Source organism: Homo sapiens, chromosome 8 (assembly GCF_000001405.40).
Source record: "Homo sapiens chromosome 8, GRCh38.p14 Primary Assembly".
Taxonomy (NCBI): Eukaryota; Metazoa; Chordata; class Mammalia; order Primates; family Hominidae; genus Homo; species Homo sapiens.
In genome coordinates, this window is record NC_000008.11 from 101,713,330 (window position 1) to 101,728,045 (window position 14,716).

Consider the following 14,716-nt stretch of genomic DNA (forward strand, 5'->3'; position numbering starts at 1 on the left):
ATCTAAAATTGACACCCTAACATCACAATTAAAAGAACTAGAGAAGGAAGAGCAAACAAATTCAAAAGCTAGCAGAAGACAAGAAATAACTAAGATCAGAGGAGAACTGAAGGAGATAGAGACACAAAAAAAAACCATAAAAAAATCAAGGAATCAAGGAACTGTTTTTTTTTGAAAAGATTAACAAAATAGATAGACCACTAGCCAGATTAATAAAGAAGAAAAGGGAGAAGAATCTAATTGACACAATAAAAAATGATAAGGGGGATATCCTCACTGATCCTACAGAAATACAAACTACCATCAGAGAATACTATAAACACCTCTACACAAATAAACTAAAAAATCAAGAAGAAATGGATAAATTCCTGGACACATACACCCTCCAAAGACTAAACCAGGAAGAAGTTGAATCCCTGAATAGACGAATAACACATTTTGAAATTGAGGCAATAATTGATAGCCTACCAACAAAAAAAAGCCCAGGACCGGATGGATTCACAGCCGAATTCTACCAGAGGTACAAAGAGGAGCTTGCACCATTCCTTCTGAAACTATTCCAAACAATAGAAAAAGAGAGACTCTGAAAAGGCCTTCAATAAAATTCAAAATCCCTTCATGCTAAAAACACTCAGTAAACTAGGTATTGATGGAACATACCTTAAAATAATAAGAGCTATTTATGACAAATCCACAGCCAATATCACACCGAATGGGCAAAAGCTGGAAGCATTCCCTTTGAAAATTGGCACAAGACAAGGATGCCCTCTCTCACCATTCCTGTTCAACATAGTATTGGAAGTTCTGGCCAGGGCAATCAGGAAAGAGAAAGAAATAAAGCGTATTCAAATAAGAAGAGAAGAAGTCAAATTTTCTCTGTTTGCAGATGACAGGATAATATATTTAGAAAACCCCATCATCTCAGCCCCAAAACTCCTTAAGCTGATAAGCAACTTCAGCAAAGTCTCAGGATACAAAATCAGTGTGCAAAAATCACAAGCTTTCCTATACACCAATAATACACAAACAGAGAGCCAAATCATGAGCAAACTCCCACTCACAATTGCTACAAAGAGAATAAAATACCTAGGAATACAACTTAGAAGGGACGTGAAGGACCTCTTCAAGGAGAACTACAAACCACTGCTCAAGGAAATAAGAGAGGACATAAACAAATGGAGAAACATTCCATGCTCATGGTAGGAAAAATCAATATCATGAAAACGGCCATATTGTCCAAAGTAATTTATAGATTCAATGCTCTTCACATCAAGCTACCATTGACTTTCTTCACAGAATTAGAAAAAAGTACTTTAAATTTCATATGAAACCAAAAAAGAGCCTGTATAGCCAAGACAATTCTAAGCAATAAGAACAAAGCTGGGGGCCGGGCACGGTGGCTCACGCCTGTAATCCCAGCACTTTGGGAGGCCGAGGCGGGTGGATCATGAGGTCAGGAGATCGAGACCATCCTGGCTAACAAGGTGAAACCCCATCTCTACTAAAAATACAAAAAAATTAGCCGGGCGCGGTGGCGGGCACCTGTAGTCCCAGCTACTCGGGAGGCTGAGGCAGGAGAATGGCGTGAACCCGGGAAGCGGAGCTTGCAGTGAGCCGAGATTGCGCCACTGCAGTCCACAGTCCGGCCTGGGCGACAGAGCGAGACTCCGTCTCAAAAAAAAAAAAAGAACAAAGCTGGAGGCATCATGCTACCTGACTTCAAACTATACTACAAGGCTACAGTAACCAAAACGGCATGGTACTAGTACCAAAACACCATGGTACTGGTACCAAAACAGATATATAGACCAATGGAACAGAACAGAGGCCTCAAAAATAACACCACACATCTACAACCATCTGATCTTTGACAAACCTCACAAAAACAAGAAATGGGGAAAGGATTCCCTATTTAATAAATGGTGTTAGGAAAACTGGCTAGCCATATGCAGAAAACTGAAACTGGACCCCTTTCTTACACCTTATACAAAAATTAACTCCAGATGGATTAAAGATTTAAACATAAAACCTAAAACCATAAAAACCCTAGAAGAAAACCTAGGCAATACCATTCAGGACATAGGCATGGGCAAAGACTTCATGACTAAAACACCAAAAGCAATGGTAACAAAAGCCAATGGGACCTAATTAAACTAAAGAGCTTCTGCACAGCAAAAGAAACTATCATCAGAGTGAACAGGCAACCTATAGAATGGGAGAAAAATTTTGCAATCTATCCATCTGACAAAGGGCTAATATCCAGAATCTACAAGAAACTTAAACAAATTTACAAGAAAAAAACAACCCCATCAAAAACTGGGCAAAGGATATGAACAGACACTTCTCAAAAGAAGACATTTATGTGGAAAAACAAAACATATGAAAAAAAGCTCATCATCACTGGTCATTAGAGAAATGCAAAGCAAAACCACAATGAGATACCATCTCATGCCAGTTAGAATGGTGATCATTAAAAAGTCAGGAAACAACAGATTCTGGAGAGGATGTGGAAAAATAGGAATCCTTTTACACTGTTGGTGGGAACATAAATTAGTTTAACCATTGTGGAACACAGTGTGGCGATTCCTCAAGGATCTAGAACTAGAAGTACCATTTGACCCAGCAATCCCATTACTGGGTATATACCCAAAGGATTATAAATCATTCTGCTGTAAAGACGCATGCACATATATGTTTATTGCAGCAATATTCACAATAGCAAAGACTTGGAACCAACCCAAATGCCCACCAATGTTAGACTGGATAAAGAAAATGTAGCACATATACACCATAGAATACTATGTAGCCACAAAAAAAGAATAAATTCATGTCCTTTGCTGGGACATGGATGAAGCTGGATACCATCATTCTCAGCAAACTAACACAGGAACAGAAAACCAAACAGCGCATGTTCTCACTCATAGGTGGGAGTTGAACAATGAGAATATATGGGCACAGGGAGGGAAGCAACACACACCGGGGCCTGTTGGGGGGTGGTGGGCAAGGGGAGGGATAGCATTAGGAGAAATACCTAATGTAAATGACGGGTTGATGGGTGCAGCAAAACACCATGGCACATGTATACCTATGTAACAAACCTGCACATTCTGCACATGTATTTCAGAACTTCAAGTATAATTTTTTAAAAAAGAAAAAATTATAAAAAAATAAACACATGAATGTAAAAATGTTCATTTGAGGTCCTAAAAATAAATCTGCATATGGTTTTGCTTATTCACCCAGATGTTGATCCAGCACAAAAATATTTTCTTTAAAAAGGAACGCAACTGCATTTTGGCATATGTGGTAGACTGAACGACGGCCCCCAAAGATGTCCACATCCAAGTCCCTGAAACCTGTGAATACGTTAACTTGCACAGGAAGACAAACTTTGCAGACGTGATTACATTAAGAATATTGAGATGGAAGGAAAAATTCCCCTAAATTATTCACATGGTCCCAGTGTAATCACAGGATCTTTTTAAGTGGAAGAGAAAAGCAGAGTAAAATACACAGAGGATGGCAGCCTGAGAAGGACTCAATCTGCTGTTGCTGCCTTTGAAGATGGATGAAGAGGGCCATCGGCCAAGGAACTCGGGAAGCTTCTAGAATCGGGGAAAGGCAGGGGAAAGGATTCTCCCCAACAGCCTCCAGAAGGAACACACCCCTGAGGAAACCTTAATTTTAGCCCAATGAAACTGATTTCAGACTTCTGACCTCAAGAACAATAGGATAATAAATTGTATTTTTAAGCTACTGGCTTTCTGAAACATTGTTATAGCCACCAGAGGGGAACTAATTTGGTATGATTCAGAGCTACACAGAATCCACAGTAGTCCCATAAATTTTAGAGTTTTTTCCTACCAATGTTATGAAATACAAAACAATTTCAGCTTGTCACTACAAACAATATTCTGTGGATACTAAAGCTAAACCACAGGAAGCGATGTCAGGGAAGAGCAACTAGAAAATTTATGACTTGGAGTCCTATACCCCATTCATTGTCAAGCTTAATTAATTATAAACTTGTTTTCACCCCAGTCTTCACCCTGACCAGTTACTGGTGTTTGTAGGTAAACAATCATAAATTTGTATTTTTCATTAAATTGCTTGAATTTCTGAGTCGTGGAGGGACGGGATTCAGCTAAGAATTTATGTATCAACACTTGTTATCAAGTTACAGGTGTTACTCATATTAACAAATAGAACTTTAATTTGTTGACGGTTCTCCTGGTCCACAGCTTGCCCCCAACTCATCACTTTCTAAGAGATATTTAGAAAGGCACAAAACAGAAACTTGACAGTGACTGCTCTGAAGCAAAGGAGCATTTTCCTGAGTGCTGCAGACCAGCTACAACAAAGAAAAGACGGCCAGACAAAGGCACAAAGCTTCCTGCGGCAGTGACAAGGCTTGAGGAGTGTGGGTTTTCAAAAAGGGAGGGAAAAAACAACAACAACAAAAAATAGAATGGGAAGCTCTGTGAGATCCTACAGTAAATTCCAGTTTATCCAGAATAATTGAAAGCAGGGAGATTAGCATAAGAATGTGGCAGAATACATGAATTGTCAGTTTGCAAAGTAGCAGAATAGAATAACATAGCCCTTAATATGAAAATGGTTCTAAGTTTAATTTAATCTCTTTGATGATTTGGAAGTCACCTCGGGATGCTACAATATTTCCTTTCTGTGATCATGAATATTAATCATCAGGACTTAGCACTCTAGGAAACAGTTTAAGAAATTCAAGCTTTCCTTTGCAGTCTTCTTAAGAGCCATGAGTGTCTGAGCATTTTGTAAGGAATGGGTGTCCTTACAATTATAGCCTGGAAACACTGTGGGCCTGTGAATGGACTGAGGTGCTTTACAGTGAAGAAAATGCCTCTGGGAGGCTGAGGCACCTTCCTTTTATTTATTTCATTTCATTTCATTTATTTATTTATTTTTCCAAAGGACATTGCCCCAAAGCACCTTCCTTTTAATGATCACTTTTTACATTCCTTAGCAAATGTGGTGGAGTGAAGTCAACAGGGGCTGGGTGGGGGTCAATTCATACCTTCTGCATATTCTCTGCAATTCTCTCTGTCTCTTTCACAAACTGGATTCCACAGAAAAGGGACAGTGTCCATTTTCCACCCTATACTATTTGTTCAGGGCTGAGTTCTTAGCAGGGAGTGTTGATTTCATCAGCCCACGAAGACTAAATGTTCCTCCCTGCCTCAGCGTCTGCATCTTCATCAGTACTGATCACAAAACCATTGACCAACAGCAGCCAGGACGACTGGGCAAAAGTGTTGAGCAGGAGCTAACATGGTGCTGTAAACCAAAAAATAAAATTCTAAGGCTCCCCCAATCATCTGAATGAACCACTCCTCTCAGCCAAGGGCATTCTAAAGTTAATCTGAAAAACATGCTCAGGCCATGATGGAAGGGGTGTTGGAGATGCCTCATTATACCCTCCTTCCTCTTGGAATTCAGGAAAAGCCCACCAGCATTAACAGCAACACAGATTTTACATCTGATAAGAAACATTTCCAAGCTATTTTCTCTGAAGCCTGCTACTTAAGAGTCTTCATCTGTATGGTAAAACCTTGGTCTCCACAACCACTAATCATAATCTAGACATTCCTTTTTATTGATCGTAACTCTTACAACCAATTGCCAATCAGAACATTTTTAAATGCACCTATGACCCGGGAGTCCCACTAGTCTAGTTTTTCAAGAGATGCCGACCAGTGTGGATTTTTATGTGCAGTCTCCCCACACTGTAATGCAGTTTAAACTGTTCAAACATGCAGGGTGGGCCAAATGAAGTGTCCTGGTGACTCACCAGTTTGCAACCTCTGCACCGTGCTATACTGTGCACCTTCCAATTCTTACTTGAGATACATGCCCTTCTTTTTTTAAAGGGCTCAGTCTACGTACCTGCACGATCTCTAGCATCTCTGCCTTGCTGATATAGCCATTTCCGTCCAGGTCGTACATGCTGAAGGCCCATTTCAGCTTCTGCTCCAGCTTCCCCCTCGAAGTTACACTCAAGGCGATGATGAATTCTCTAAAGTCTATTGTCCCATCTCCATTTGCATCGAAGGTGCGGAAGACATGCTCTGCAAATTTGGAAGCATCCCCATAAGGGAAAAAGTTCCCATATATTTTCTTAAACTCTTCCATTGACAAATGTCCACTGGGGCAGTCTCTCAAGAAGCCTTTATACCATTCCTGGATCTCATGCTCTGTAAAGTCTGTGCTTTCCAGCAAGTCCTGCATGACCTCCGGGCGCAGCTTGCTGTTCTGTTTCCCCATCCTGGCGGCAAGAATTCAGCTGCAGATAGAAAAGAAAACATATATAATTTGTAGAGCTGCTCTTTAGGGCTGCATTTTATAATTTGTAATTGTTCCTTTGGGAAGAAGAAAAAACAAACAAATAAACTCTATACGAGTCCAGTAACACTGTCTAGGTTTTGCAACACACTGGTCAGCCAAACAAAATAATAGAAAGATAGGCCAGTAGAGGATGCACAGCAGAATTATCACTGACCAGAAAATGAATACTTCTTTTATACAGAGCCATCCTGAAAGCAAAAGGTTCAGAGAGAGCGTGAGGTAGAGGGAAATGAGGGCAGGGAGAGAGGGAGAATTAATTGCTTAGTTAATTTTGACATCAATTTGCCAGAGGTTGAGCTTAAATTTAAGAAGGCTGGGGTTCTGATAGCTAATCCAAGTATTAGCAGGGAAAATTAAAGGAAAGGAGGAAGAGAGAGACCAAGGGAAAGAATTTAGCAGGTTTTATTGCTAGAATATTTCCAAGTAAAATGCTGCTTGGATACCTTCTGAATATTATAAACACAGACATAAAGACAGAAAATGGAAGCAAACCTAATACCACCAAACTCCAACATGCTAGTTCAGGGATTTAAACGCATGGAATAAATCACTGACAATGTTGGGTTTTGATAGTAAAGATGATGCTTCATAAAGTTATGTCATGATTTTGGCTTATAAAATAGGTCAAATGTTTCTCTTTAAAATACAAATAACTTTGCATTTTCTTATCATGGCAGTAGCACATAGTTATAGTAACATAGTAAAAGAGTGATACATAGGGAAAAAAAGCAGTATCACTTCAAATACTAACCCTGAGAGATAACAATTGCTAGCATGTTGATATGTGTTCTTCCAGACTTTTCGTATGTGTACTTAAATATGCTGTTAATATATGTTTCCATAACAAGAATGCACACCTTTTTGTTACCTATTTTTAAACTTAACATGGTGTGGAAAATAAAGGTAACTTTTACTAGGTGGGGAAATACCTGTAATTATTATTGGCCTTGGGGGAAAATGCCACTTTTATATTTAAAGCTACTCCCTTAAAGAATGATTTATTTTCCTGAGTATAGAAAGCACCATTTCTTCAAAACCAAACTGAAGTTATTTTCTCAATGTATAAAAAGTGCTTCTCATTTATAGTGCTTTTGCACTAGAGACAAACTGCCTCAACATTTGGCTCTCAATTACCAGTGTGTTTCTGGTTCTGTGGATGCAGAATAAGATGTGGCCCCTTTTCCCTAAGGGCACCTAGCTGTGTGTGCAGGGGATGGTGGTAACAGTGAGGGGACGATATGACAGATATGCTACAGAATAGAGAGTGGATTTGGTGAAAGTACCTGGAAAAATGCCCAACCCAAAGGGGGCATGGGTGCTCTCAGGGAAGCTTTCTTGGAGGAGGTGATATACGAGATTAGTTCCTAATTCCCAAGGTATATGATTGAAGTGTGGTCAAGATAAACCCCATCTCAAAAAAAAGTTCTGCACTTGTATTTTGCATTTTTCGTCTATTGGAAAAAAAAAACCTGAAAGCAAAGCTTAGAAAAATTACAGAATACCTGAAAGACAGCATATCCCCATTTTAATGATTGCCAATCTTCTTTGCGATTTCACGCATTCTGGGGTTTGTTTCTGTCTCCCTCCTGCTACACAGTCAGGCCCTTGAGGCAGAGTCTCCACTGGGGTTGCTTCGTCTTCCTAGAGCCCACCGCAAATGGCATTTGGTGAATGAATGAATGAAGGCATGACTGAGAAAAATGACTGATAGGAAGGTAACTACAAAGTGGAAACATGGAATAATTTTGGAAAAGGAGGCTCACTGCCAGAAGCACGGGGGCTTGGTTTTCAGAACGCTATTTTACACACTGAAAACTATCTGGTGGTTAAGACTTGAGCTTAGGATCTCTTATATTGAATTTAGTGAGGCCTGTCTGGTGGCCTCACTAAAAATAAACTTCTACGGGGTGGTGTTTGTATCTCACGCTACTCAAACTGCTTGCATAATACTCATGGTTCAGATAATGACCAGCAATCCTCATTCATTGCCAAGTTTATTGATTTTGTTTTCTGACTTCTGCACTGGAGGCAAAACCTGCCCTGCTCATATGCAGGTGTCCAAAGTGATGGGAGTATGGGGCACTTCACCTATGAGTATGGCCAACTGCTGTAGGAAGGAACTTACTTTTTGGGTTCCCCCTGCCTTTTTTTTTTTTTTTAAGACTCTGTCACTCAGGCTGCAATGTGCTGGTGCAATCATGGCCCACTGCAGCCTCAAACTCTTGAGTTTAAGCAATCCTCCTGCCTCAGCCTCCCAAATAGCTGGTATTACAGGTGTGTACCACCATGCCTGGCTAAATTTTTTATTTTTTGTAGAGATGGGGGTCTCACTTTGTTGCCTAGCCTGGTCTCAGACTCCTGGGCTCATGCCGTCTTCCAAATTGCTGGGATTGCAGGCATGAGCCACCACGCTTGGCCCAGAGTTCCCTCTTTAGGCAGAATCAAGCAAACACCATTTTATGCAAAAGCAAAATTCAACTGCAACTCAAATGGAGAACAAATGGAATTTATAAATTGAACAGTCTAATATCTTTCACTTCCCTCTGTGTCCTTTTTTTCCCCTGGAGATTAAAAAAACAGAGTTACAGAGGCTGGTTTGTATTAGAATTGTAAAGCTGTCATTTAGTTGCTAAGTTGGCAATTTGCCTGAGGCCAGAATTCAGAAACATCCGGTAATACATAATACCCGGCTTTCTAGAGCTCTGAGACATTTTATGGAATTTACAAGTAATTTCAAGTTTTCCTTTTGGGGAGTTCTTTAGAATATATCTCTTTGGTGTGGTTTTCAATCAAATCACCATTTTTACAGTTTGTGCAAATTGCTGCTTGCCTGGCCTTGGGGAAAAATGCCATTCTGATATTTAAATCTACTCTCTTAAAGAATGATTTATGTCTCCAATGTATAAAGCACTGTTTCTTCACAACCAAACTTAAGTGCCTTTCCCAGTGTTTAAAAAGTGCTTCAAATTTATTAGCTGCTTTTGCACTAGAAACAAATTGCCTCAACATTTTAGCTAAGTCTCCCACTGAGACTGATCTGTGTGCAGCTATTTTTTGGTAAACAGTAATTAAACCACATTTACAAATTCATCAGCACAGAAAGGCCATAACACAAACAAGTCAGAAAAGCATGGAATAAGTTATTGGGAAAACGAGTGTTCACAATTAAGCCTAGAATTCATCTACAAACACTTTACTAAGTATGAGGACTAAACTTGAGACACCATCTGGACTTGGTTAGATGGTACAACACAAATCTTAGGGGACATTTGACAGAGTTTCATTCCTTAGGTGGTGAGGAGGAAGACAGAGGGAAGCCTGACAATACCTTTTTCTTTGGGAAGACAGGAATTTCTGCCCGTTTGAGTCGAAGGGATGGGGCAGGATAACATTAGGGAAATGCTACAGTAATTGGCAGTTAAGAGAAAAACAGTTTGGAGACAAAAATTGCACCTTGGGTCAAATCGTTTTCATAACTCCAGTCAGTCATTAAAACATTTATTTTGTGCTAGTTGAACATAGGTATGACAGGCTGTCTTTTAATAATTTTTTCTCTATTAAGTTAATTGCAGTATTATTTCACCGTCGCCATTTACATTTACTTTTCAGGTATCAGAGACTTATTGCTTTAAGTAGCAAATTACCTAAATTATGAACACATATTTTCAAAACACAAAATTGAGTTCAAAATTACCAAGTGTATATATACTGTGCAGAAGATTAAAAAAACTGAATTAGCATATATTTCTTTTCTAAAGTTCCTATGAAGAACTTACACTCTCCTATACTATCAATCCATTCTGTATATTTAAAATAACATTTGTTTTTATTTAAATAGTCAAAAATATAATGGCTTACACTTTTGTAAGACTAACCAATAAAAAAAGGACTCCAATTTTAAACCAATCCCTGAAACCAAAGCATCAAATATTTTAATATTAGTTCAATATTTCTACATAGCACAATAAGGTTTTCGCAAACAGTAACTCAAAGTTTTGTCTTTATTTTTAATCACGGGAATGGCCTACAATTCAGATAAGCCCACAAATTCATACTATCTTATAAACAGCAGTAACATTAATATAAACAATGTTAATTCAGTTATCTTAGGGGCCTTACCATATCATTAACCTATTTACAGAACAAAAATGTTTCTATGAAAGCTAATATATCTTTTCATGTTTGTTTGTTGTTAAGTGTGCTACAACAGAAATAGAGGTAGAATCACATTTTTCTTAAGTAACACTCTATAAGCCAATTCTACACAATTAAGGCATTTTTGCAATCTAAAATAGTAATGCTAATACTGCTTCAGTAAACTAGATTTACTAATTTAAGAATCCTAAGAAATTACGTATATGTGACTTTCAGACATCCATGTTAAACTACCAACTAATCAAGTTGTGGAACTGTTGTTCTCTGCTCACACTTAACATTCTTGAATGACCATAAAGTGGATAATGCTAAAATTTTTTCTAATCACAGTTTTTCTTATAAGTGACTATATGATATTTTACCATTTCTAAGAGGAAAAAATGAGACCTACTTGGCAGTCTGCATAGGCTGGTGGAAACTATAATCAGAGTGTAAAGACAAATCTTCAAGTGACTCAAAAAAGTTTGTAGATAACTCAGAATATAATCTGTTGGGAACTATGACACGTTGGCCTCCTGGATGTCCTGTTGGATGAACACTGGAAAAACACTAGAATAAAAATGCTTGGCTTCAAAGCCTGGCTCTATTGTTTACTAGCTGGTGGGTAATTCACTTAACATTTTGGTTCTCCTCAGTTTTCTCATCTGTAAAATGAGTTTAATGATATGAGTTCATCTCTTATTGATTCCATGTGAGAGTTAAATGAGACAGTCAAACATGTAAAGCTCTGGCATTCAGTCAGGGCCAGACGCTGCCATAAATGAAAATGATGCCTTATCCTAGATGATCTTTCATGTGACATCCTATTAAACTTTCACAACCTGTGTGATAGGCAGGCAGGCTTTCTCTATCTCATAAGCAAATAAATGAAAACTCAGAGAGGCTAGGTGACTTATTCCAGGTGACACTGCTTGTGAATGAGAGAGCCTAACTGTGAGTGTGGGCTGCTGCTTGGTTGCCCAGTGGTTTTAGCCCTATGCTCTACTAGCCCCAAGGACAAAGCATTTATAGAGATTAAGACAACAATCCATAAAAAGTCAGAAAGAAGTAGTGAAGAAGAAGGAGACAACCTCCTTTTGGAACTCATTTATTCCACAAACAGGCACTAAGTGTCTACTGGGGGTGAGGCACTCCTAGGCACTGCGGAATTCAGCAGGGAGCAAACAGGCAAAGCCCCTGTTTTCATGGTGATGTGGACAGGAGGCAGGGAAATACTGGGTAGAAGAGGGTGGTTCCCTGGCAAAGGCCCCACCCTCAAGCCTGGAAACCATGACCCTAAATAAGAACAGTTATCCCTGTTTTCCCACCCAAATGTTACATTTTTGGCCTGCACTGCTGCCCATCCTGTGCCTATATAAACCCCAGATCTCAGCTGGCAGAGAGACAAGCGGCTGAACATCAAGGGAGAAGAAGCAACTGAGCATCACAGACTGTGGATAGACATGGCTTAACTTCAGACAGCATGACTTCAGAGAGAAGCCTGGCCAGAGATGGTGGGCTCCGAGGAAAGATCACCTTCTTCCTGCACCATCCCCTTTCCAGCTTCCCTTCTGGTGAGAGCTGCTTCTACTGCTTAATAAAATCCTCCACATTTATCACCTTTCAAACTGTTCATGTGACCTGATTCTTCCTGGATGCCAAACAAGAACCCGGGTACCAAGAGGGCAGGGTGTAAAAGGCTGTCACCCTGACTCTCCACTGAGCTGGTTAACACTTAGCCATCCGCAGACAGCAACTGCTAAAAGAGCATTAATTGTAACACACCACTAGACACTGCTGTGGGGCTGGAGCCCAAAAAGGCTCACTTCGGCCCCACACCTTCTTGCCTGCATGCTCCCCATCTCACAAGGGGTTTGAGCATGGCGTCCAAGTAAGCAAGCCACACCCCTGTTGCAAGTCCCACAGAGGGGTCAAGGGAGCTCTCCCATCTCCGTGGCACTTATAGTCTAGTGGCAATAGACACACAATACATAAAATAAGTAAGTGAAATGATAGATGAAGACGTGCCATGGAGAAGAGTAAAGAAGAGAAGGGAGTTGTGGAATGCCTGCAGTGGGTGAACGGGTGTTGGAATTTTGAATAAGAAGCCAGGGAAAGCCCCACTGAGAAAGCAACACTGGGAAAAGACCAGAGGAAGTGAGGCAGGTCGCCATGGAGATAACTGTAAGAAGACTCTTTGAAGAGCAAGAACAGTGAATGAGAGGGGTCTAAGCTGGGAGGCAAGCCTAGCAAGATCCAGGATGTGGCTGGAGTGGAGGGCATGAGGTGGGGGAGGAGATGACATCAGCACCATCATGAGGGACCAGGTGATGTGGAACCTGGAGGTGACTGTAGGGACTTTCTGCTTTCCCTCTGACTGAAGCTGAGCCAGTGTAGGGTTTTTATCAGAAATGTGATAAAGCTGATTTATATCCTAACAGGACCACTCTGGCTGCTGTGTTGAGAGTAAGCTAAAGAGGAAAAGGGCAGAGCCAGGAAGACCAGGTATGATGTCCATGCAATGATCCAGGCAAGAGGTGATGGTGGTGGGAACCAGGGTGGTATCAGCAGAAAAGGGGCACCTGGTTGTATTCCAGGTACTGCTTGAAGGTAGAGCCAACAGGCTTGGTTGATGGTTCATATGTAAGATGTGAAAAAAGAGAACAGTGCAGCATAGCTCCAAGGTTTGGGCCTAAGAAACTATAAGGATAAAGTTAACATTTATAGAAATGGGGAAAATGCAAGAGAAGCAGGGCTTTTGGATGAGGCATGAATATCATTATTTAGTTGTATACGTGTTAACCCTGAGATGCCTATTACACATCAGTTGGAGATGTCAAGCAGGCAGTTGAATATATAAGTCTATAGGTAGAGGAAGAGGTTCAGTGAGGCGATATAAATTTGGTAGTCATCAGTATATAGATAGAGTTTACAGCCAAGGACTGAATGAGTGCACCAGGGACGTGAATGTGGATAGAAAAGCACCAAGGAAGTGAATGTGTATACTGTTTCTACGCAAACACCAGATGACAGCACCAAAGAAGTCAATGTAGATCAAGGACTGAGCCTTTGATCACATGGCATTTAGGCTCTGGGAGATGAGAAGGAGCCAGTAAAGGAGAACAAAAAGGAATGACCAGCGAAGTAGGCAGACAAACACAAGGAAGCTAAAACCATGCCCTCTTCAGTGTTGTGTCCTTCATGCCCAGTTCAAGACTGGACATTGAAAGGTCTCAATATAACGAAACAAGTAAGAATTGGAGCTCTTGGTATTTTCTCTGAATCTTGTGCTCTCTTCAACCCCAACTTTCCTCATCTCAGTGAAGAATACCATCTTCCACCCAACTGCTCTCTCTAAAGCACTGAGGCTCATCTGAGATTTCTTCCATTTTTGTTCCATCAGCAAGCTGTTGGATCTGCATCCAAAATTTGTCTTAAATCCATTCACTTCTTGCCGTTTCCATTGTCAGCACCTCAATACAAACTATTATCTCCTACCTGATCTTCTACAACAACTCTCCTCACTGAAATCTTACTTTTCACTCATCTTCCCACTCCCTACTCCTTGCCCCAATCTATTCTCTACTCAGCCTCCAAGAGTAATGAGTAACCTTTTATAAAATATTTTCATTTTTTAGAGACAGGGTCTCGCAATGTCACCCAAGCTGGAGTGCAGTACCTATTCACAGGCAAGATTGTGGTGCACTAGCATGCTACAACCTCAATTTCTGGATCAAGGAATTCTCCTGCCTCAGCCTCCTGTGTAGCTGCGACTACAGATGCACATTACCATGCCCAGCATAAAAGTATCTTCTTAAAAACACTTATCAGACTATGTCAATCCTTTGCTTAAAGTTCTATGAAGTCTTCTCATGCACTTAGAATAAAGTTAGAATTCCCTCTTTGGCTCACAAGGCTCTGCGTGAGCTGGCCCTGGGCCATCTCTGACTTACCTCTCAGTTCTCTCTCTGCTCCAGGCACCTTGGCCTCCTGGATGTCCCATCTTTTACCTCTTAAGGGCCTTTGCTTTGATCCTGCATTTCCTTATGTGACTGCGCACCCTTTTCTATTAGACACTGGCATCCTGTTATTCAGTAGTTTACACTGGGAAGGGGAATGTGAAATCTCTCAACTTATTTTGGGTCACACCCAGTCTCCTAGAGATCAAAAAATAAATCTGGAGTTGATATTGACTGCAGAT

The 14,716-nt window shown here is 40.4% G+C and overlaps 1 protein-coding gene across 24 annotated transcripts in view, besides 1 other annotated feature; it reads right to left on the minus strand.

Moving 5' to 3' along the window:
- Positions 1-14,716, minus strand: part of NCALD (neurocalcin delta) — a 438,366-nt gene that overhangs the window by 26,788 nt on the left and 396,862 nt on the right. For 23 of the 24 annotated variants that reach the window (NM_001040630.2, XM_047422315.1, NM_001040627.2 and 20 more), the window contains one exon: positions 5,923-6,319. In NM_001040630.2, coding sequence (NP_001035720.1) covers positions 5,923-6,300 — 378 coding nt within the window. In that variant the 5' untranslated portion in view covers positions 6,301-6,319. Of the gene's footprint in view, positions 1-5,922; positions 6,320-7,883; positions 8,023-14,716 lie in introns of all 24 variants that reach the window. The other variant, XM_047422316.1, reaches the window with a different exon arrangement.
- Positions 12,848-12,907: an enhancer, noted in NCBI's record as "active region_27733". NCBI's record gives its function as "activates an Ori minimal core promoter by ATAC-STARR-seq in GM12878 lymphoblastoid cells {active_cell/tissue: GM12878}" and the evidence as "EXISTENCE:reporter gene assay evidence [ECO:0000049][PMID:35858748]".